The sequence below is a fragment of the Homo sapiens genome, chromosome X (assembly GCF_000001405.40).
Source record: "Homo sapiens chromosome X, GRCh38.p14 Primary Assembly".
NCBI classification, from domain to species: domain Eukaryota; kingdom Metazoa; phylum Chordata; class Mammalia; order Primates; family Hominidae; genus Homo; species Homo sapiens.
This window is the reverse complement of record NC_000023.11, coordinates 150870106-150894844: the sequence shown is the minus strand read 5'-3', so window position 1 is coordinate 150894844 and position 24739 is coordinate 150870106. Positions and strand designations below refer to the sequence as shown.

The following is a 24739-nucleotide window of genomic DNA, read 5'->3' as shown; positions in this document are numbered from 1 at the left end:
GGCTGAGGTGGCCAGATTACTTGAGCTCAGGAGTTCGAGACCAGCCTGGGTAACATAACAAGAGCCCCATCTCTACAAAAAATACAAAAATTAGCCAGGCGTGGTGGCATGCGCCTGTAGTCCCAGCTACTCGGGAGGCTGAGGTGGGAGGATTGCTTGAGCCTGGGAGGCAGAGGTTGCAATGAGCCAAGATCGCACCACTGCACTTCAGCCTGGGTGACAGAGTGAGACCCTGTCTTAAAACACACACACACACACACACACACACACACAAAACAAAAGAATAAAAGAATAAACTTGATGAGCATGTTGGCAAGCCACCAAGTGCCTGCTCCCTTAAAGAGAGGTCCAGCTTACACATGGAGTGTAGGCTTTAAAGCGTACCTGCCCAGTGCTGCTATGACTCTGTCCCATTTGCCTAACTGCTCGGTGCTACGGTTTCCTCATCTGTGAAATAGGGATAACAACACTATCTACCTCATGGGGTGGTTATTAGGATTAAATGAGTAGAAACGTATAAAGCATTTAGCACGGCACCTGGCTCCAAGTGAGCAAGACATTCCAAGCCACATTTTAAAAATATGTGATGCAAACCTTGAAAGGCATCATTTATACAAAATGTCCAGAGTTGGCAAATCCATAGAGACAGAAAGTAGATTAGTGGTTGCCAGCAGCTGGGATGAAGGGGGATGGGGAGTGTCTGCTTAATGGGCAAGGGGTTTCTGTTTGGGATGATGACAATGTTCTGGAACTAGATAGAGTTTATGATTGCAAAATATGTGAATGTACTAAAAACCATGAATTGTACACTTTAAAAAGGCTGAATTGTGGCCAGGCGCAGTGGCTCATGCCTGTAAACCCAGCTCGTTGGGAGGCTGAGGCGGGTGGATCAGCTGAGGTCAGGAGTTTGATACCAGCCTGGCCAACATGGTGAAACCCCGTCTCTACTAAAAATACAAAAATTAGCTGGGCATGGTGGTACACGCTTGTAGTCCCAGCTACTCGGGAGGCTAAAGCATGAGAATCTCTTGAATCCGGGAGGCAGAGGCTGCAGTAAGCTTAGATCATGCCACTGCACTCCAGTCTGGGCGACAGAGCGAGACTCTGTCTCAAAACAAAAAAAAGGGCTGAGTTGTATGGGAACTGCATCTTCATTTAAAAATTCACTATGTACTGACTTGTACACTTTAAAAGGGTGAATTGTATAGGAATTACATTGCCATTAAAAAAAATTCACTGTATAGTCCAAGCAGAATAAGTGTGAGAAGTGGCAACATGTTACCCCTGGATTGGGGTTGTTTTCAAGGTCCTTGAACTTGGTTCGGGGGGCGTAAGAGCAGAGTGGGCCCCGTGTGCTGGCAGTGCTGAGATGCCAGGCTGGGATCCAAGCAGAAGCCTCATGGGCTGACTTGGGGTATTGGGCTGAGCCAGATGGGCCACAAAGCATCTGCAGAGTTGGCCCAGAGATGCTTAACCCTGCCTGCCCGAGTTCAGGAGTGGTCCCTGGAACAGTGGCATGATAGGGAGAGGGAGAACTTCCCTTTCCTAGATGGCTCCAGGGTTGCCCTTATGGGCACTAGTCAGTTGCTGCGCTCGTCTGACAGAAAGTCTGGGGACTCTGCCTGTTAGTCTTACCTGCTTTGACTGGTTTTCAGCCTTTTCCTTGCTGTCATAGGTCACATCCCTATCCCTTCCATTATTTTGGACACAGGGTATCTCAAATGTGTTGTTTGTTTCTTTGTTTTTTTTTGAGATGGGAGTGCAATAGTGCGATCTCACTGCAACCTCCACCTCCCAGGTTCAAGCGATTCTCCTGCCTCAGCCTACTGAGTAGCTGGGATTACAGGAGTCCGCCATCACACCCGGCTAATTTTTTTGTATTTTTAGTAGAGACGGGGTTTCGCCATGTTGGCCAGGCTGGTCTCAAACTCCTGACCTCGGGTGTTCCACCTGCCTTGGCCTCCCAAAGTGCTGGGATTACAGGCGTGAACCACCGCGCCCAGCTTGTGTTTGTTTTTAAACACGTGCACAGAAACCATCCAGGAGTCAGCATCAGTAGGCATTGAGGAAGGGCCTGAAGTTGCCTTCAGTGGAGATGATGCTGATTAGGCCCATTTTGTCTGCTCAGAAGGGAGTGTTGGGAGGAGCTGGGTTTCATTCTTGTGAGTTTAGGAGAGATACCTTCCAGATACGTCGACTTTCCTGTTCTGTTCTTTTTTTTTTTTTTTTTTTTTTTTTTGAGACAGAGTCTCGCTCTGTCGCCCAGGTTGGAGTGCAGTGGCGCGATCTCGGCTCACTGCAAGCTCCGCCTCCCGGGTTCACGCCATTCTCCTGCCTCAGCCTCCCTAGTAGCTGGGACTACAGGTGCCTGTCACCACACCTGGCTAATTTTTTGTATTTGTAGTAGAGGCGAGGTTTCACCGTGTTAGCCAGGATGGTCTCAATCTCCTGACCTCGTGATCCGCCTGCCTCGGCCTCCCAAAGTGCTGGGATTACAGGCGTGAGCCACCGTGCCCGGCCTCCTGTTCTGTTCTTTTCCCCACCTGGTGTTTTGCTTTTTCTGCTGTGTGTTCACTCTTAGGTGGGTTTATTTATTTATTTATTTTTATTATTTTTTTCCTTCGAGATGGAGTTTCAGTCTTGTTGCCCAGGCTGGAGTGCAATGGCGCGATCTTGGCTCACTGCAACCTCTGCCTCCTGGGTTCAAGCAATTCTCCTGCCTCAGCCTCCCGAGTAGCTGGAACTACAGGCATGTGCCACCACACCCGGCTAATTTTTTGTATTTTTAGTAGAGATGGGGTTTCTCCATGTTGGTCAGGCTGGTCTCCAACTCTCGACCTCAGGTGATCCACCTGCCTCAGCCTCCCAAAGTGCTGGGATTACCCAGCTCCCAAAGTGAGCCACCACGCCTGGCTCACTCTTAGGTTTTGTACTTTGCATGTTATTCCTCTTCTGCTCTTGGGTGCCTGGGAGGACTGGCTCAAGGGGTTCCTGTCCCCCAATCCAGACTGGACCCTCCCTGAGGCTAGGTCCATGACTGGTGAATGTTGGTTTGCATGCAAAAGCTTAACGTCATCGTAGACACCTATCAAGAACGGGCTGGAAAATCTTTCATGTAGGCACATGTTCCACATGGAGTGGGGTGGGAGGCTGTGGTAGAAAGAATAATAATGAGCCCCCAAAGACATCCACGTCCTGATCTCTGGAACCTGTGAATATGTTAGGCTCCATGGCAAGGGAAATTCAGTAAGGTAGCCGATGGAATTCAGGCCGCCAATCTGCTGACCTTAAAATATTATTATCCTGGATTATCCAGGTGGACCCAATGTAATCACCCGGGTCCTTTAAATACAGAAGAGGGAGGTAGAAGAGTCGGGGATTAGAGCCATGTCATATGGGAAGGACTCGCCTGGCCATTGCTGGCTTTGAAGATGGAGCAAGGGGCCAGGAACCAAGGACCACACAGCCTCTAGAAGCTGGAAAAGACAGGGAACAGATTTTTCTCTAAAGCCTCCAGAAGGAACACAGCCCTGCCCACACCTTGAGTTTAGCCCAATGAGACCTGGGTTGGACTTTTATCTCTAGAACTGTGAGATAATAAATGGGTATTGTTTTAAACTGTTGAATACAGTATATTTTGTTATAGCCAAAACAGGATGCTAGTAAGAAGCTAAGAGTTAGATACTAGCATCCTCTTCCTTGTTTGGAAAACTAGTATGTGATATTTCCTTACATTGTTTCAGTTTTACCATTTTAAAATCAATCCCTAGAATGCTCTAAGTTCAGCATTTTAAAATAAATGTGCAGAAAATTGGGTTGTAATGATGTTTTTGGTGCAGCAATGAATGTTTAGAAGCATATCTGAGGGCCCAGGAAGGTAGCTGGATTTCTGGCGCTTGCATTTGATTCCAAACTGCTTTACAAGGGGATGGGAGCCTGCACTTCTGCTTTGGAGCATGGCCCATGTTGCAGGCCACCTGCAGTGGGGGCCACTGGCTGTCTCCAGAGGCCTTTCCCACCCTTCTCCTCCAGTCCTGATGGCCGCACTTGAAGCAGGATGCAGCCTGGGGCCAGCAGACAGAGGGTTTCTGATTTGTGCAGGCCGCACTTGCCCCTTCGCTGAGGACGAGGAGGAGTGTGCTGCCAGCCTGCCTTTCTCCTGGCTGCCCTTACCAGTGCTGTGGCTTCAGCTAATTGTGTCCATTCCCTCTCTCTCAAGGTGGGGGCGGGGGTGTGGGGAGAGGACCAGACAGGAATGGGTGCACCTGAATCCCCCACTCCCACTTCAACCAGTGTTGTTTTTTGTTTGTTGGTTTGTTTTTTGAAAGCAAGTTTATTTTTATTTTATTTATATTATTATTTTTTGAGACAGAGTTTTGCTCTTGTCACCCAGGCTGGAGTGCAATGGCGCAATCTCGACTCACTGCAACCTCCGCCTCCCGGGTTCAAATGATTCTCCTGCCTCAGCCTCCTGAGGAGCCGGGATTACAGGCGCCTGCCACCTCGCCCAGCTAATTTTTGTATTTTCAGTAGAGACGGGGTTTCACCATGTTGGCCAGGCTGGTCTTGAACTCCTGACCTCAGGTGATCCACCTGTCATGGCCTCACAAAGTGCTGGGATTACAGGCGTGAGCCACTGTGCCCAGCCTGAAAGCAAGTTTATTTATTTATTTATTTATTTATTTATTTATTTTGAGACGGAGTCTCGCTCTCGCCCAGTCTGGAGTGCAGTGGTGCGATCTCGGCTCACTGCAAACTCCGCCTCCCGGGTTCATGCCATTCTCCTGCCTCAGCCTCCCGAGTAGCTGGGACTACAGGCGCCCACCTCCACGCCCAGCTAATTTTTTTGTATTTTTAGTAGAGACGGGGTTTCACCGTGTTAGCCAGGATGGTCTCGATCTCCTGACCTTGTGATCCGCCCGCCTCGGCCTCCCAAAGTGCTGGGATTACAGGCGTGAGCCACCGCGCCCGGCTAGCAAGTTTATTAAGAAAGTAAAAGAATGAAAGAATGGCTACTCCATAGGCAGAACAACTCCACTTCAACCAGTTTTGAGCTTTGTTTTTATTAGTTTTCTACCTCGGGCTTCTCACAAGATGTCAGAACGTTCTGCTGCTTTACAGCAGAAATATCTTTGAAAACTGCTGTAGTTGAATCCTATAGATATGACACCCCTGTTCAGTGAACATCTGTGTAGAGGAGAAGCTAGAAAACATCTAGCTGTCATTGTTAGGTGGTTGTATTTGGGATTATTTTCTAAATTAGAGGTGATACTCTCCACAGGAAGTATTACTGCAGTGTGGAATTTATTTCCACCAAAATAGTGCCCAGGCACAGCCGGGGCTCATTTTGACCTTCTACTTTTGTTTTTTTTTTTTTATTGCTGCTTCAACTAGCCTGGGATGGTGGAACTATATTGGGTATTTCTTTCAGCCTAAGGGCAATGTGGGGGAAAAAAAACTGAGATGTGAATGGCACTTGAGATACTAAGGAAACCCATGGGCTAACCCCAGGGAGGCCAGAGGACAAAGAAGCCCTTTGATGAAGCTCATACCGGTCAGTGGCCTGGGACACAGAGAGTGGATCTGAAGGGCAGATGGCAGGCAGCAGGCCTTATCCTGAATGAGCAGCCAGGACCCGTGTGGGGGCACTGTGGGTGAAACAGAGCAGGGTAAAACATGCACCTGCCCTCAAGGAGATTAAAGTCCAGACAGACCTGGAAGCAACTATACATAGTCACATGTATCTTAAAAGACACACAAGGATTCCATTATTGCTGTAGTGCTATCTGCCAAGAGGACACTTGCCCCCTTTCTCCCAGGTTGAAGGCCGTTGCTGTCGCCTATTGCTGCATAATGAACCTCCACACATTAGTGGCTTGAAACAACTGTTTACTATGCTCTTAGACTCCATAGGTTGGGAATTAGGATAATGCAGCAAGGATGGCTGTCTCTGCTCTACTGTATCTAGGACCTCAGCTAGGAGGACTCAAATGGCTGGGGGCTAGAATCATCTGGAGGTTTTTTTTTACTCACATGTCATAAAGGATGGGCTTAGCTGGGGCTGTCCACTGGAACACCCAAATGTGGCCTCTCTGGTTTGAGCTTCCTTATAGCAAGGCAACTGTATTTGAACTTCTTACATAGCCCCTTCAGGTTCTAAGCATGAACATTCCAGTAGACAAGGTAGAAAACAGATGGGCTTAGAAACCTTTTAAAAATTGTGGTAAAATACACATAACATTTACCATTTTAACCATTTTAAGGCACACAGTTCAGTGGCATTAAATACTTTTTTTGTGTGATCATCATCATTCCCCCTCCCCTAACCCCTGGCACTGGCTCATCTGCTTCCTATCTGGATTTGCCCATTCTGGACATTTCATAGCAACGGAATCAGGTAGTATTTGTCCTTTTGTGACTGGCTTATTTCACTTAGCATGATATTTTCTGAGTTCCTGCCTGTTGTAGCGTGGATCAGTACTCCATTTCTTCTTATGGTTGAATAGTATTCTATTGTACGGGTAGACCATGTTTTGCTTGTCCAGCCATCAGCTGATGGACATTTGGGTTGTTTCCACCCTTTGGCTATTGTGAGTAGTGCTGCTGTGGACATTTGTGCACAAGTCTTTGTTTGAACAACTGTTTTCAGTTCTTTGGGATATATGCCTAGATCATGGTCTTTTATGACTTGGCCCCAGAAGTTACCAGCGTGACTTTCATTGAATTCCATAGGTTATGAGTCAGTTGAGGGTAGTCTGGATTCAAAGTGAGAACATATATCCTACCTCTTAAGGGAAGAGTGTCAAAGAATTCTTAGCCATCATTTAAAACTGCCGCACAAATCTCACATTTCTGGGTCCTGCTGAAATATTGCTCCCTCCCTGGAGCGTATCCCAGTTCTCCTAGCTGGGAGTAACTACTTGTAGCTCTATTGTGATGGCGACTTCTCTCACCTCTCTAGTTCTTTATGAAATAATCACCATGAGGTATATTTGTTAGTGTCCAGTTAGTAGCCTAGCTCCGTGTGTGCCTCTTCATTTTCTGTTCCTTCCTGTGACGCCATGCTGCTGTCCTCAGCGGTCGGGTTCTCTCTCTCTGAGCGGGGGATGGATCAGCTGATTCTGAGAGCCCTTCAGCACTGATGTTCTGTGGGCTCCAAGTGATCTTATTTGTACAGGCTTTCTCCGTGAGGGAGGCCTCCTTCTGACAGCACAGTGCCTACTGTGTAGCCTTGGAGGAGCTTGCTGAGTGTAGGTCTCAAGGAGTTTGGATTAACCCTCAAGGTGGGGCAGCCTGGGGATTTGCCCTTCTTCACCTGGAAGAAGAGTCCCTGGGGGTTGAGCTTTATTTTTTTATTTTATTTATTTATTTATTTATTTATTTATTTATTTATTTCTGGAGACGGAGTTTTGCTCTTGTCACCCAGGCTGAAGTGCAGTGGCGCACTCTCAGCTCGCTGCAACCTCCGCCTCCCGGGCTCAAGCAATTCTCCTGCCTCAGCCTCCTGAGTAGCTGCGATTACAGGCATGCGCCACCATGCCTGGCTAATTTTTGTATTAATAGTAGAGACACGGTTTCACCATATTGGCCAGGCTGATCTCCAACTCCTGACCTCAGTTGATCCACCCACCTTGGCCTCCCAAAGTGGTGGGATCACAGGCGTGAGCCACCACACCTGGCCTTCATTGTTTTTTTTTTTTTTTGACAGAGTCTCACTCTGTCACCTAAGTTAGAGTGCGGTGGCACCATCATGGCTCAATGCTGCCTCAAGCCCTGGGCTCAGGGGATCTTCCCACGTCAGCCTCCCACATAGCTGGGACCACAAACATGTGATACCATACCCAACTAATTTTTTAATTTATTTGTAGAGACAGAATCTCAAACTCCTGGGCTCAAGTGATCCTCCCGCCTCAGCCTCTCAAAGTGTTGGGATTACAAGCATGAGCCATGGTGCTTGGCCTGAGCACTCTCCTAGATAGACTATTGAGCAGAGTTTTTCAACCATGGCACTGCTGACCTTTGGACCAGATAATTGTTCTGCAAGGGATAAGGCGGGTGGGTGTCCTGTGTGTTGGAGGATGTTTAGCAGCATCCTTGGCTTCTGCCCACTAGATGCGGGTAGTACACCCCTCCCTAGTCTTGTCAACCAAAAATAACTCCAGACATTGCCGAGTGTCCCCTAGGGGGTGGGGGGTGGCGAATCACCCCTTGTTGAGAACCACGACTGTAAAGACGGATACAGCCATGCCTTGCTTAACAATGGAGAGATGTTCTGAGAAATGTCATGTGATCTCATTGTGTGAACGTCATGGAGTGTACTTACGTAAGCATAGATGGTATAGCCTACTACATGCCCCTAGGCTACAAACCTGTACAGCAATGTGACTGTACTGAATACTGTAGGCAGTTGTAATACAAAGGCAAGCATTCATGCATCTAAACATAGAAAAGGTAATGTGTTGTGCTACCATGTTATGATGGCTACCATGTCACTAAGTGATAAGAATAACTAGGGTCCCAGTTACAATCTTATGGTACCACCATCGTATATGCAGCCCATCATTTGGCTGAAATATATTGCTATGTGGCCACATGACTATATATTCTTTGAAATATCGCTCTGTTTTCAGTATTGTTCACGAGTCACTAAAGTTTTCTGCCATCGTCACATTGCCCAGGACAGACATGTTGGAATAAGTCAGGTCTCAGCCAGTCTTGTGCATTGGTATCAGCTCAGACAGTTCTATTTTTTTCTTCTCTACAGGGCAAGTTCTAAGCTCAGGCAACTCTAGGAACATACCTTAGACTCCTTGATGAGCTTTCAGGTCACCCTAGTGAGACCATATGCATCACCAATCTGTGTAGTTAGTTATTTTCTGCATAGATTTCCACAGATGGCTCGTCTCATCTCTTTTATGTTCACCCTTATTAGTTTCCATTTTAGATGGTGACCTTGTCTTTTTTAATGCATTTAATGATTTTCTGCGAACCAGTGAAAAAGAATAAACAGCAAAATGAGCCAAAAATTTGACCAGGCAATTCATATAGGTAGAAATCAAATTGCACAATAAACATATAAAAAGATGATCAGCCTCATTAGTAATCGGAGAGATGCAAATTAAACTATAATAAGATAACATTATATACCCTCCGGTAGACTAAAAATTGTAATAAAGTCTGACATACCAAATGTGTACACAATTACAAGAGTAATACATACTCTTCGTAGTAAACGTGGGAAATGTGGAGAAGTGTAGAGAAGACACAAACCTCGTTACCTAGGGATAACCACTGTTAGCATGTTAGAATACAGTATGCCAATAATTTTTTCCATGCTGAAATATGTATTTCACATTATTGGCATCAAACTGTATATAGTTTTCACCTGTATTGTGAAATATAACAGATATAGAAAAACATGAAAAGCCTATATGTAAAGTTTTTGTTGTTGTTGTTGTTGTTTTTTTGTTGTTGTTGTTTTTTTGTAGAAGTGGAGTCTCACTGTGTTTCCCAGGCTTGTCTGAATTCCTGGCCTCAAGCAATATTCCTGTCTCAGCCATATATGTAAAGTTTAACAAAAATGTATAAAATGAAAACCTGTGTCACCACCGACCAGGTCGAGAAATAGAATGTTGACAACACTTGTACAGACCCCTGTGTGCCCCTCCCAGTCACAGCCCCCTCCCTCCCTGTAGAGGTAGACACTACCGACTTTTGTGCGGTCATTTTCTCCCTTTACTTTATACTCTGCCACCTATGTATGCAGCCATAAATCATATAGTTTTGTTTTACCTGTCTTCTAACCTTGTAGAAATGGGATCACACCATGTGTAATCTGTTTTGTCTTTCCCCCAACATTATTGTCGATCTGTTGTGTGTCACTGTAGTTCATTTGTTTTCGTTGCTATATGTTATTCCACTGTTTGACTATATCACAAGTTGTTTTTTAATTCATTCTCTTATTAATGAACATTTGGATAATTTCCAGTTTGGGGCCATTTTAAGTAGTGCTGCCAGGAGCATTCTTAGGCAGATGTGCAAAAGTTTCTCTAGGGCAGAGGTTCTCACACTGTGCTCTGAGGACCCTTGTGGGGGCCTATGAGACTTCTTCAGGGGGTCTACAAGGTCCACCTACATTTATTGATTGATTAATTGGTTGATTGAGATGGGATCTCACTCTGCTGCCCAGGCTGGAGTGCAGTGGTGCATTCTCAGCTCACTGCAACCTCCACTTCCCGGGCTCAAGTGATTGATCCTCCCCCCTCAGCCTCCCCAGTCACTGGGACCACAGGTGCATGCCAGCATGCCTGGCTAATTTTTTGTATTTTTGGTAGAGATGGGGTTACACCATGTTACCCAGGCTAGTCTTGAACCCCAAGCTCAAGCAATCCACCCACCTCAGCTTCCCAAACTGCAGGGATTACAGGTGTCAGACATTGTGCCCAGCCCAACTACTTATATATTAATCCTAGGATGTTAACTGCCTTTCCCATTCTCCTCTCACGAGTATGCAGTGGCGTTTTTTAGAGGCTATGTGACATGCAGTATCATCACCCTGATGGCTAATGGAGTGTGTGCTTGTGTCATATGGTTTAAAAATGCCTGTTTTAATTTCTAATATGATAAATATCAATAGCAGTCACTGATACAAATAAAAGCTCTTTGAGGTCCTCAATAATTTTGAGTATATTTAAAATCTTTCAGGCCAAAAAGTTTGAAAATTGCTTCTCTAGGGTTATACCTAGAAGTGAATTTCCTGAGTTATGCAGTATTTGGAACTTGAGTTTTATGAGGTGGTACTAAACTGTCTTCCAAAATGGTTGTACCAATTTATATTCCTACCAGCAGTGTAAAAAAGTTGTTGTGCCAGCCTCACCAGCGCTTGGTATTGTCAGACTTGACTATGATATTTAGCCTACTGGGGCTTTTTATAATATTGTAATGGTTTCGTTTGCATCTTTCTGGTTACTAATGAGGTTGAACATCTTTTCCTATGTTTATCTTCCAGTTTGGTTTCCTCTTTTATGAATTGCCTGGTTGTCTTTGGCTCATTTTCCTGTTTATTCTTTTTCTACTAATACTCACTCATGATTCTTTATTTCCTCGTGTGCTTGGTGGTTTACTTATTTATTTATTTTTTTGGCTGTGTACTGCTTATTGTAACTGAAATATATATCTGGGGAATCTTTGAAGTCTAGGGTAAATTTGCCTTCTTCCAGAGAAGAATTTATGTTTGGTTTTTGTCAGGTGCCTTGTGTGATTAGTCTGGGACTACCTTAAAGTTTCTACCATTTTCGCTTTGTTTTGCCATCATCAAGGCAGCCTTTCTTGCAATCCTCTGGGGGTGGAATTTGGGAGGGGCATATTTGTTTCTGAGTCGCCCTTGCCCCAAGGGTGTAACACGTTGGGGTCCCAGCTTAATATGAGAAGAATTTTCTGTTACATTCCTTTAATGGTCATGGGCCTGCTCTTCAGCCCCCTTTGCCTGCCTTGGAAGATTGTCAAAACCAAAGTCAAAATTTGTCCAGATTGGCAGATGTCCTCAGAGCCTGTGGCTGCATGTGCATGGACTCCTACCTCCCTGGATTTTCCACTGTCTTTTATGGGTTGTCATGGTTTTTTTTGTTTGTTTGTTTTGTTTTTGTTTTTGTTTTTGAGATGGAGTTTTGCTCTTGTTGCCCAGGCTGGAGTGCAATGGCGTGATCTTGGTTCACTGCAACCTCCGCCTCCCGGCTTCAAGCGATTCTCCCGGCTTCAAGTGATTTTCCTGCCTCAGCCTCCCGAGTAGCTGGGATTACAGGCATGCACCACCACGCCCAGCTAATTTTGTATTTTTAGTAGGGACGGGTTTCGCCATGTTGGTCAGGCTGGTCTCGAACTCCTGACCTCAGGTGATCCGCCCACCTCAGCCTCCCAAAGTGCTAGGATTACAGGCATGAGCCACCATGCCCGGCCTCTCATGGTTGTTTTTTTTACCAACTTGTCAGTTCTTCAACACTTCTAAATGTTTTAAAATGATATTTTAGAATCAACCATTTTAGTTGTTTGTAATGGGAAGATTGGTCCAAATAATCTATTTTGCCATTACTAGAAGCACAAATTATATTGTGAGAGTATCTTATGTATTATAGTTAAAACATGTTTTGAATATAATTTTTTTTTATTTTTTGAGGTGGAGTCTGGCTCTTGTTGCCCAGTCTGGAGTGCAGTGCCATAGTCTTGGCTGACTGCAACTTCCGCCTCCCGGGTTCAAGTGATTTCTGGCTAATTTTTAGTATTTTTAGTAGAGATGGGGTTTCACCATGTTGGCCAGGCTGGTCTCGAACTCCTGACCTCAAGTGATCAGCCTCCCTTGGCCTCCCAAAGTGCTAGGATTACAGGCGTGAGCCACTGCGTCCAGCCTGAATATAATTTTTGATGAATATTTAGGTTGACTCTAGGTCTTTGCTGTTATAAATGACATTTCATTAAATATCTTTGTACATAATATTTGGATGAACATTATTTCTAGTTACAGGGTGGGAGGGAGAGGCAGGAGAGAGAGAGTCTAAACCTTGGTGCTCAGTTAATGTTAACTCTTGTCACTCTTATTACACGTACACATGGGATGGCTGAAGGGCACGTGGAGCCATCCTGCCTAATGGCCTTGGTCTTTTCCCTGGAGGAGGAAACAAGGTCTTGTGCTGAGTATATGAGGAGCCAGGTAGAGAGTTAAGATTGGAAAGAGTAGTCCGGGCGCGGTGGCTCACGCCTGTAATCCCAGCACTTTGGGAGACCGAGGCGGGCGGATCACAAGGTCAAGAGATCGAGACCATCCTGGCCAACATGGTGAAACCCCGTCTCTATTAAAAGTATAAAAATTAGCTGGGCGTGTTGGCGGGCGCCTGTAGTCCCAGCTACTCAGGAGGCTGAGGCAGGAGAATCGCTTGAACCCGGGAGGCGGAGGTTGCAGTGAGCTGAGATCATGCCATTGCACTCCAGCCTGGGCAACAGAGCGAGACGCCGTCTCAAAAAAAAAAAAAAAAAAAATTGGAAAGAGTACTGTCAGGTACAAAGGGAGCCAATTAAGGAAATGTGGATTGCCAAGGTACCCCAAGGGCCTGGCTTGACTCAAACACCCTGAGCTGGCACCTGTGCCGGTGCTAATCAGGACAGTGATACAAGACTTTCTCCTGCAATGTGGCACCACCCCAGAATACAGCAAGGCTGGCTGGTGGCGAGATCACCATTCCTGGTCAGTTCCCTCCAAGAACTGTTAATTGAGTGCTGTGTATGCACCAGGCATCTTGCTTGGTGCTGGACCAATGGTGATGCGGGCACTGACTGTGTTTCAAGGAGCTCCTGGTCCAGTGGGGTTGGGAGAGTGGGTTCTCTTTTCAAAGTTGAGGATTGGCAGGGCAGGGGCAGAGCATTGTGACAGGTATTGCTGGCTCTGGCTACAATCTCTGCGATGACCTAGCTGGGACTGTGCCAGGTGGCAAAGGAGGTAGAGCCCATTGAAGGTTTGAGGAGGACCAGAAAGGATTCCTGAGGGTGGCCTGGCAGGCTCTGCAGGCCTGCTGGGGTATAGGTTGGGCCACGAGTGGGAAGATAGAGCCAAGGCCACAGAGTGGGATTTCCAAGGCGGGACAGTTTCTTGTCCAGTGTGGGATGAAGTGAAATGAGAGCATGAAGGACACTGGAGAGGAGGAAGGAGGTCAAGGGACCAAGGGCAGGATGACTTGGGGTGAAGAGAGAACCCAGCCACAGCCAGGCAGCTCCCTCTCACTCGCTCTAGCTCCCTCTCGCTAGGAGGAAGGGTACTGGAAGTCAGGAGAGGACAGCCTCAGGAAGCAGGTCAACAGCCAGGTGACTGCAGCCCTCAAGCATTGAAGTACATTGAAGTACTGACAAGATTCTAAGAACAACCATGACAGAACCTAGGAGACAGGAAATTCAGAGAGGTAACTAGAGAGTGAGGGTGGGTTTCTTGGAAGGCCCCAATCTTCTTTTTAGAAGAGAAAATAGTGGTAGAAAGTCACAAAGAGACTTGCCCCAAGTCACAGATGCGTCCTTTATATCCACTGCCTCTAAACTACAGAAGGCTTTTTTGTGTAGAGGATTAATTTCCTTTCTCCTCCCACATGTTAAAACAGTTCCATTTTCTTTCACACACCATACGATTTACCTGTTAAAATACACAGCTCGGTGGTTTCTAGTGTATTCAAAACTGTGCAACCATCACTCTCATTATCTAATTTTAGAACATTTTATTACCCTAAAAAGAAACCCCTTACCAGCCCCTCCCATTTCCCACCTTCCCCCTGGCCCTCAGCAGCTACTAATCTGCTTTCAGCCTCTATGGATTTCCCTATTCTGGGCATTCATATAAATGGAATGATATAATATCTGGCCTTTTGTGTCTGGCTTCTTTTACTTAGCGTGATATTGTCAAGGTCCATCCACGTTGTAGCATGGATCAGATATTCATTCCTTTTTATGGTCAAATAGTATTCCATTTTATGGGTAGACCACATGGTGTTTATCTGTTCCCCAGCTGATGAACATTCAGGTTGTTTCTGCTTTGCAGCTGCTATGAATGGTGCTGCTGTGAACAGTTATGTACAGGTGTTTGTGTGGACTTATGTTTTTAATTCTCTTGGGTGGAGTTGTGAAGTCATATGGTAATGCTATGTTTAACTTTGTAAGGAACTGTCAGACTATTTTACAAAGTTGCTGTGTCATTTTACAATCCCACCAGCAGTGTAGGAAGGTTCCAGTTTCTCTATGTCCTTGCCAACACTTGTTATTTTCTGTTTCATTTTTATTTTAGTCATCCTGGTAAGTGTGAAGTGGTAACTCATGATGGGTTTGGGTTTGATTTGCATTTCCCTAGTGACTAATGAAGTTGGGTGTCTTTTTTTTTTTTTTTTTTTTTTTGGAGACAGGGTGTTGCTCTGTCACCCAGGCTGGAGTGCAGTGGCACCAACAAGGCTCACTGCAGCCTCTGCCTCCCAGGCTCAACCAATCTTCCCACCTTAGCCTCCTGATTAGCTGGGGCTACAGGTGTGTACCACCATGCCGAGCTTTTTTTTTTTTTTTTTTTTTTTTTTTTAGTTTTTGTAGAGACAGGGTTTCGCCATGTTGCCCAGGCTGGTCTTGAACTCCTAGGCTCAATTGATCCTTCTGCCTTGGCCCCCAAAGTGCTGGGATTACAAGTGTGAGCCACCACACCTGGCTTGGGCATCCTTTTATGTGCTCATTAGATCATGTGTTCTGGAGTAAAATTCTGTTTAAGGCAAAGGGCACTAAACCTGGAACCAGGAGGCCCTGGCCATACCCTGAATCACGGTGAGTCCTTCATGTTTCTTGTTAGATTTATCTGTTGCCAGGTACTTCATGGTATATCATTCCTTTATAAATGCATCTTCCTACTTGAGAGCAGGGACCTTATTGGTCAAATTCAACACTTCTGCTCTATGTTTTCAATTGCCACCTTCTCCCTTTTCTTAATTCTTTCCACTCACCTAAAAAGCTAAAGTTTTCCTTCATCCTTCAACATCTCTCTTTCCTCTGCCTCCCTTTTAATAAGCTAGTATCTTATCTCCTTTCTCCTTTAGGTCTCCACTCCCTACCTTTCTACCTCATCTGCCTTCAATTCTCAGTCAAACTGGAGTGTGACTTCTGTCATCTTCCCCTCTTGTCTACTGGAAGGTTTCTCTACGGCCACCAGGGTACCTGTATTTTTTAGGTTGATTATTGAAGTAGCAGGTCCCAAATCATTGATACCAGTGACCTCTCTGATGAGTGGAATTGGAAGGAAGGGGTGACCTCACTCCTTGCTGTAGAGTTGTTATTTGGGAGAATGTATATAAGAAAGTCCTTAAATTAGCTTGATAGAGAGCAGGCAATGGTAGCAATGTGGCATAGAACTGCTTATTTAGAGTTGGTAGCAGGAAATGTCTACATTAGTGATATCCAAATAATGGACCCCAATGACCTTTGAATTGATATTGGGGTCAAGCATTGAATGTAAACAGTTAATGATGAGCTGGGTCATATGTGTACTGCAATTTAAAAAATGTATTTAAATGTTGCTTTGATTAATAAATTGCAGAAATTTTAGAATCTGATAGGGGCAGGCCTTTAAAAAATTACTCTTGTTTTGAAATTTATCTTCCCATGCATTTTATTCACATATACTTTAGAGTCAAGTTTTTAAAAAAAGTCCGTTGGGATTCCGATTGCACTTGCATTGACTAGGTGAGAGTCTTAGGAAAATCAACATTTTTTTCCTTTTTTTTTTCTTTTCTTTCCTTCTTTTTTTTTTTTAGTAGTATTAAGTTTTCCTATTCAAATTCAAGGTCTCTCTATATTTAGTTCTGTTGTCTTTGTGTTTTATGACTTTTTTCAAGTTTATTTTTCACATTGCTTGTCAGACTTATTCTCAAGTGCTCTGTAGTATATATTCCTGTTGTGAATGGGACATTTTTCCCCCATGGTGTTTTCTTTCCCTTTTTTTTTTTTTAGACAGAGTTTTGCCCTTGTTGCCCAGGCTGGAGTGCAGTGGTATGATCTTGGCTCACTGCAGCCTCCGCCTCCCGGGTTCAAGTGATTATCCTGTCTCAGCCTCCTGAGTAGCTGGGATTACAGGCATGTGCCACCATGCCCAGCTAATTTTTGTATTTTTAGTAGAGACAGGGTTTCACCATGTTGGCCAGGCTGGTCTTGAACTCTTGACCTCAGGTGATCTGCCTGCCTCAGCCTCCCAAAGTGCTGGGATTACAAGCGTGAGCCACTGCACCTGGCCCCCTACTATGTTCTCTAAGTGAGGATTGTTGGTGTCTGAGAAAGCTACTGGTGTGTGTGTGTGTGTGTGTGTGTGTGTGTGTGTGTGTGTGTGTGTATGTGTTTGAGATAAGGTCTTACTCTGTTACCCAGCCTGGAGTGCCTAGCATTCTTCGTTAGCCACTTTACCTAACAATCTTTTTATTTTTATTTCTCCTAGTTTTATTGTTTTGTGTATTTTTAGTGTTGTTTTCTTTTTTTGAGACGTGGACTCACTGTTGCCCAGGCTGGAATGCAGTGGTGCGATCACAGCTCACTGCAGCCTCAAACTCCTGGCCTCAAGCAGTTCTTCTGCCGTAGCCTCCTGAGTAGCTGGGACTACAGGCACATGCCACCACACCTGGCTAATTTTTAAATTTTATGTAGAAACGGGCTCTTGTTATGCCCAAGCTGGTCTTAAACTCCTGGCCTCAAGCAATCCTCCTGCCTCAGTCTTTCAAAGTGCTGGGCTTACAGGTATGAGCCACCATGCCTGGCCTTTCCTAGTTTTGCTCTTGATTCTGTTGGCATTTCCAGGTATATAACCATATTATCTGCAAATAGTGATGACTTTCCTCTTCCAATATTTTTCCCTTTATAATCACTTATCTGGTTCTCTTATCTGATTCTACTGGCTATTAAATAATAGTGGTGCTAATAGTCTCTTTGCTTGTTCTTGACTTTAGTTTGTGATATGTATTTTTATCACATTAAGGATAAATCCTGACTCCTATTTTTACTAAGGATTTGTCTTTTTAAAAAATCAGAATTGGATGCCAAATTTTATCAAGTGGTCCTTTGGTGTCTCCCAAGGTCTCTCTGCTTCTATTTAACCTGTTAATGTAGTAAATTCTATCAATAGTTTTTCTGTATATTTATGACTTTTTTGTTTCTTTCTTTCTTTTTTTTTTTTTTTTATTAAGAGACAGGGTCTCGCTATGTTGTCCATGCTGGTTTCGATCACTTGGGCTCAAGCAGTCCTCCTGCATTGGCCTCCCAAAGTACTGGGAATATAGGCATGAGCCACCATGCCTGACCTAGATATGATTTTTATATCAGTATTTAAAAGTGAGATTAGACTGTAGTATAGTTTTTCTGTACTACCTTTTCCAGCTGTTACTAAAAGAAATGGGCAGTTTTTCTTATTTCTCTGCTCTGGAAAATTGGAACAGGAGAGAAATTATCTGTCTTTTGAGGACTGACATAATTCTTTTGTGGACTGAGCCTAGGTTGATTCTTTTAAAGAGGTAATTCAAAGACAACTTTCCTGTTCTTCCCCGTGGCATTTTCTCTGTTTAGATTTTTGTCTTTCTTCCTGACTAAATTTTGAAAATGTGTGTATTTCTATGATGATAACCATTTCATCTAGTTGAATATAAGTTTCATAAAGGCAGGATTTAAAAAATCTGTTTTGTTCACTGTTATATTCCCAGGACCTAGAACAGGATAAGGCACATGCTAGGTGTTGGTAGATATTTGTCAAATAAATGAAAGAGGTAATCAATAAATAAAGCTAGATTTTTCCCATTCATGAGAATGGAGCTGTATAAAGCTTTGTCTTACCATTATTTTGATTTGTTTTGTATTAGTAGTTACTATTTTCTCATTCCTAATTTATGTCAGCCCTTTTTTTCCTTGATTAAGTTAGTGAGGTGATCTCTTTTGGTGAACATTTTTAAAAGAAACTAGGCAGAAGGAGCAAATCACCTATTAGAAGAAAAGAACTCAGGTTCACTTCACCCTTCTTCGTGACAATATTTGATGCCAGAAGAAATTGGGGTAATGCCTCTACTAACTTAGAGGGCAAAAGTGTGTGATCTAAGTTGTCATTCTCATGGAGAGGCAACACAAAAGCATTCTGAAAAATGTAAGGCTTCCTGTACACACATGTTCATAACAGCTTTATTCCTAATTGCCAAACACTGGAATCAGCCCACATGTCTCATACCATGGAATACAACTCAGTAATAAAAAAGAACAAACTATTGACACCACAACAACCTGGATGGATCTCAAATGCATCATGCGACATGAACAAAGGCAGTCTTAGAAGAATTCTGTATTAGTCTGTTTTCATGCTGCTGATAAAGACATACCTGAGACTGGGCAATTTACAAAAGAAAGAGGTTTAATGGACTTACAATTCCACGTGGCTGGAGAGGCCTCACATCAGGGCAGAAGGCAAGGAGGAGCAAGTCACATCTTACATGGATGGTGGCAGGCAAAGAGAGAGCTTGTGCAGGGAAACTCTTTCTCATAAAACTGTCAGATCTTGTGAGACTTACTCACCATCATGAGAACAGCACAGAAAAGACCTGCCCCAATGATTCAGTTACCTCCCACCAGGTCCCTCCCACATCACATGGGAATTCAAGATGAGATTTGGGTGGGGACACAGCCAAACCATATCAAACACATACTGCATGATTCTAATGTGACATTCTTGGAGTAACACTATTATAGAGATGGAGAACAGAGTAGTGGTTTTCAGGGGTTAGGGACAGGTGTGGGGGAAAGAGGAGGTGGGAGAGAGGTAGGTACTCTTATAAAAGGGCAGTACAGGGGATCCTTATGGGGATTAAACTTGTTCTTTATCTTGACTATGGTGGTGGTTACATGACTCACTCATGTGAAAAGTTGTATAGAACTTAATGAACACGCACAAATGAGTGCAAGTAAAACTGGGGAAATTCTGAATACGATGTGTGGTTATATCAATGTCAGCATCCTGATTGTGATAGTGCACTATAATTTTGCATAGTGTGATATTTGTGTAAAGTAAACTGAGCTAAGTGTACAAGGGATCTCTTTGTATTATTTCTTATACCTGTCTGTGAATCTGTAATTATCTCAATAAAAATTTCAATTAAATAATATAATGCTTTAGGAATTACATGTCACTCAGCAACCCTCCTGGAGACATCTACTTAATAGTATAAAACAGCCAAGCAAGAGGGTTGTACTCAGAAAAGGGGAGGCCAAGGGAGGAAAGAGGTGGCAGTAAACACTGAAGTATTTAAACAGATCTCAATGTAATTGATCAGATAGAGAGAGATGCCTGGCAGGAAGGCCTGGGTTCAGAGCTTGGGAGCCACTCTGAGTGTGGGGACCTAGTTTGTGGAGGGGAGCTAAAATAAAAACTAAAATCATAGGAACAGGTGGAATCAGTCTGGGAGAATGGGGGAACATGAAAGATTTCTGTCTTTCTGGGGAACACCGAAATTGAAGAGCTAGACAGAGCCAGATCAGTGAAGGCCACCAAGTAGGAGTGATGAGTGAGATAGGACAAGATTCAGAGGAGGAAAATGTTGCAGAGGTTTAGGACAAAGTGTTTCAAGGAAGGTTGCCCAGTGACATCAAAGCCAGTAGAGGAGTCAGAAGAATGAGGCCTCAAGCCTGCCAGGTGCAAACCTGGGTGTGGCATTTCTCCTGAAGGCTCCCTCTCCTGCGATACTTCCCCCGCCCCCGCCCCCGCCCCCCATTTGGTGGATGGTGCCATCCTTCTAGCCTGTAGGCTAGGGGACACATGTAGGTCATCTCAGAACCCTCTTACTCCTGCAGCCCCTCTGAACTCTTCCCACTGGCCTTTCTCACCTGCCTTCCTCTTTTCCTGTGGCTGTTCCTTGCCACACACTCTGTTCCCACTCTCCCAATTCCTTCTTCCTCACTAGCATCTTCCTATTCTGAGAATGATGGGCTACTAAACCACTAAGACCTGACTCAGGAGGTTTCCTCTGCCTGAAGGCCATCTCCCTCTGCTCCCAGAGAATGGCTGCTCACGTCTCTGAGCCTAGCTCCAATGCTACCTACTCCCTAAAAGCCTGCAGGCAGAGCTAGTGGCTGCTGCTGGCATCAGGTAGCACCTCACGTGTGAGGCTCTCATAGCCCCATTTGTTTAAATGTCTCTGCCACTAGACCGAGGCCAAGAACTCTGGTTTTCTAATCTTTCTGTCTCCTCTAGTACCTGGTACTCCATAGGTCTTTGGTTTATGGTGACTAAATGGTCCCATGCTAACTTCCTGGTTCTATAACCCTATGAAAAGCATTCACTGCAGGATTTCCTTTGAAATGAAAGCTCCTTAGGTCATTGGAAATAGGATTGAATTTGCAGAAACTTGAATCACAGCAGCAGGTTCAGAACTTGTGTTCAAGCAGGGCACCCTGGTCCCTGGAAGGTACATCCTGTTTCATGTTTGGGTAGTCAGGCTCAGGCCCTGGTTGGAGGCCAGGTGTATTTATAGTGAGCCAGGCATGTGACTCATCTCTTCCCCATCTCATGCTCTGGGTGCTTGGCTCCTTCTCATTCCTCTTCTCCCTTCCTGTTATGCAGACCAGCCTCAGTTTTAGATGGTAGACTCCAACCCGATTCCCTGCAGTGTCTCACTAGAATCATCTTTATGCTACCTTCCCTGTGAATGTAGGATCCTGAAATGGACTTTTCATTTTTTATGGCTTTAAAAAAATTGAGATATAATTCACATCCCATACAATTGACCATTTTAAAGTGTGCAATTCAATGGCATTTAGTGCGTTCACAAGGCTGTGCGTCTCTCACCAGCTCTGAAACACTTTCATCACTGCAAAAAGAGACCCTGTATCTATTAAGCAGTCACTCCATATTTGTCCCACCTCACAACCCTGGGCAACCACGAATTTACTTCTAGTCTGTATGGATTTGCCTATTCTGGACATTTCTTGTAAGTGGACTCATACCGTATGTGGCTTTTTGCAACTGACTCGTTTCACTTAGCATCATGTTTTCAAGGCTTATCCAGGTTGTAGCATGGATCAATGCGTCTTTGTTCCTTTTTGTGGCTGGATTATATTCCACTACATGGATGTACCTCTCCCACTAGAACTCTGCTCTGTGAGGTCGTCAGCTGCAGCCACCTCATTCGAGGATGTTTCTCAGGGCTGAAATGAGAGCTGGGCACCTGTTCATGCTCGTCGGTAACCAGCTGTTGGATAAATGAGTAGAGGCTGCTGGTTTTTTCCCAGTGTCTGGTAATGCTCGGTGATATTCCTCAATGGAGAGCTGGCTGGGAGGATGGGAGTGGACACAGGTGGAGGGGGAAGGCTGCATGCTGGAGCTGTAGGTGGTGAGTGACCAGGTTGGGGCCAACTGAACAGGGACTGCTTCTTGGTGCCAGGCCTGCTCAGGCCACTGGCCCATCCTCTACTGTTTGCTGAGCTTTGCTCCTTCCCATACCTTTCCTTGTTCCTATTTGCATTTTAAACACTGTCCTATTTAGAAATTAACAGAGGGAGAATTGATGTCTTTTTGATATTGGGTCCCCTTATCCTCAACCTAGTGTGTCTTTTCATTTGCTCAAGTCTTCTTTTGTGTTCTTCAGTAGTGGGGGATTTTTTTTTTTTTAACTGCTCCTTGCAGAGCAGGGCTGCCTTATAGGCAGTGTGCCCAGAGTAGCCTTCAGTAGTGTTTTAAATATTTTTCCACTCGTATCTAGTATAGTTCTTAAGTTTTTTTTTTTTTTTAACATATTGAGGTATAATTTACACACAGGAAAACTTTCTGATATTAAGATCTTCAGTAGTCATCTTTGGTAGTGTTTTAAAATTTTGTTGCTCAGTTCTGGTATGTTTCCTAAACATTTTTTTAATGAGGTATAATTCACATACAGTAAAATGCTAACATATTAAGATCTTTAAGTTCAGTCAGTTTCAATGAGTGCATATCAAGACAGAACATTTTCTGTCACCCCCAGAATGTTCCCTCATAGCACTTCCCCACCTTGCCCCCAGCAACCACTGATCTGTTTATGAGTGTTTTTTTGTTTGTTTTTGTTTGAGACAGGGTCTCACTCTGTCACCCAGGCTAGAGTACAGTGGCACAATCACAGCTCACTGCAGCCTTGACCTCCCGGGCTCCAGCAATCCTTCCACCTCAGACTCCCAAGTAGCTGGGACCATAGGCATGTACCACCATGACTGGCTGATTTTTAACTTTTTTGTAGAGACAGGGTCTCCCTACATTGCCCAGGCTTGTCTTGAACTCCTGGGCTCAAGTGATTCTCTTATCTCAGCCTCCTGAAGTGCTGGGATGACAGGTGAGCCGTTGTGCCCAGCCTGATCTGATTTTTATACCATAGGTTAATTTTATCTCTTCTAGAATTTCATAGAATTGAAACTATAGATTATTTCCTTTTTTGTTTCTAGCTCTTTCATGCAGCATAATGTTTTCAAGATTCAGCCGTACTGTATGTGTCAGCATTCCTTTTCACTGCTGAACAGTTTTCCATTATGTGCATCTATTCTATTTATCTATTCTCCTATTGATGGACACTTGGGTTATTTTCACTTTAGAGCTATTACAAATCAAGCTGCTGCGAATATTTGTGTCCAAGGCTTTTTGGGGATATGTTTTCATTTCTCTTGGATGGAACCTAGGAGTGAGATTGCTGACTCATGGGGTGTGAAGATGTTTAACTTTTTCTAAGAAACAGTTAGAGTTTTCCAAAGTGGTTGTACCATTTTCTACTCCTACCAGCAGTATATGAGTTCCAGTTCCTCTGCACCATATCCAATATTTGCTGGTGTTCGGCTCCTCCAGCTTTGATTTTTCTGTCATTCCAATCTTATCAACCTTCAGTCTGAATCTGTGGATGCCCTCCCTACCTGCCTCGTGTTTCTAGTGCTTTCATGAATGTATTTGCTTGTAGGCTGCTTTTCTGATATTTTCCAGGGGTTTTGAGAGATAGAGGATATAAATATGAGTGCTTGAGCAAGAGGTCAGAGCCTGTTTTTAGTTATGTGAGTAATCTCTGGTGTGGGGTTACAGCTTGAGGTTGAAGGTAAAAAAAAGGACCAACTGTTCCCCTGTCTTGTCATTTTCCTCCTTTCTGCATTTTCAAAGCAGCAAATAGCAAAAATGATTTCTGTGTCTTCTAAGCCTTCTGATAAAGGAATATTAACCTTTTGGCCCAAGCCTTACTGCACATCCAAGAATAAGTTATTTAAAAGGAAATGGGACTGTCGACATTTCCCACAATTTTAAATGTTAAAAATCCTTTTGTGTGTGGGAGGCATAGGGATTGTTTCGCTAGTTCCTGTAGATGCTCAGCCCTCAGCCAGCGTGCCAGATGGGTGCGAGTGCTCCCGTCACTCCTCGCATTCCCCCTCTTCTCAGGAGTGTATGTGCACAGTTCTGCTTGTCCCTTATACAGGAAAATAACTGCTTGCTGCCTTTTCTTCCCTCCTGGAGCAAGGCGGACTCTCCCAAGAGAGTTAGGGATTCTGGGGCTGCTAGGATGGGGGGGTGCAGTGCAGTGGGGTGAGACAGTGGCTCTGGCTGTCCCAGCCCCTGTTAAAGGAGGGGTGTAGGAGGTGGAGCCTTTCTGGTGGCAGCAGTTCCTGAGCCTGGGAGGAGGGAGGAATATGTGATGAGGACATCCTTTGTGACCAGGCATTAAAACATTGAATATGAAACCTGTAGTTCTGGGGTTTGATGCATTGATTAGTATGATACCTCCACAGAGCAGGATGACAAATTTGCAACCTCTGCCTCACTGGCTAAGCAATTCTTCTGCTTCAGCCTCCTGAGAAGCTGGGATTACAGGCACATGCCACAATGCCCGGCTCATTTTTGTACGGACTGCTTCCTGGCAGTTTAGTACCATGAAGGCATTGTGACTTGTTTACTCCAGCCTCTGGAAGTATGGCTTAAAATCTGTGCACTCTGTAATTCGTCCGCCTGTCTTTGGCTGTCTGTTAGTCCATCAGAGCTGTGTTGCACGGAACATAAACATGCTTTCACAGAGGAACATGCCAGCCTGGGAGGGAAGCCCAGGCAGTAGGCTTGCTGACTTTTAATATCTCCTTTAAGCAGAATTTAGCATAGCCAGAGAGGGTGGGGTTGGGGTGGGCAGAGCAGGGAAGAAACCTAATTATGCAAATTTTGATCTTAAAGCTTTAT

General features: G+C 44.5%; 1 protein-coding gene across 7 annotated transcripts in view, besides 3 other annotated features; it reads left to right on the top strand.

The window, feature by feature from the left end:
* Positions 1-24739, top strand: part of CD99L2 (CD99 molecule like 2) — a 132333-nt gene that overhangs the window by 3824 nt on the left and 103770 nt on the right. The gene's annotated exons all lie outside the window — the stretch shown is intronic.
* Positions 3535-4035: an enhancer, noted in NCBI's record as "H3K4me1 hESC enhancer chrX:150059283-150059783 (GRCh37/hg19 assembly coordinates)". NCBI's record gives its function as "activates a minimal SCP1, AML or CMV promoter by ChIP-STARR-seq in naive H9 embryonic stem cells {active_cell/tissue: H9 hESC(naive)}" and the evidence as "EXISTENCE:reporter gene assay evidence [ECO:0000049][PMID:30033119]".
* Positions 4036-4536: an enhancer, noted in NCBI's record as "H3K4me1 hESC enhancer chrX:150058782-150059282 (GRCh37/hg19 assembly coordinates)". NCBI's record gives its function as "activates a minimal SCP1, AML or CMV promoter by ChIP-STARR-seq in naive H9 embryonic stem cells {active_cell/tissue: H9 hESC(naive)}" and the evidence as "EXISTENCE:reporter gene assay evidence [ECO:0000049][PMID:30033119]".
* Positions 14047-14146: an enhancer, noted in NCBI's record as "active region_30025". NCBI's record gives its function as "activates an Ori minimal core promoter by ATAC-STARR-seq in GM12878 lymphoblastoid cells {active_cell/tissue: GM12878}" and the evidence as "EXISTENCE:reporter gene assay evidence [ECO:0000049][PMID:35858748]".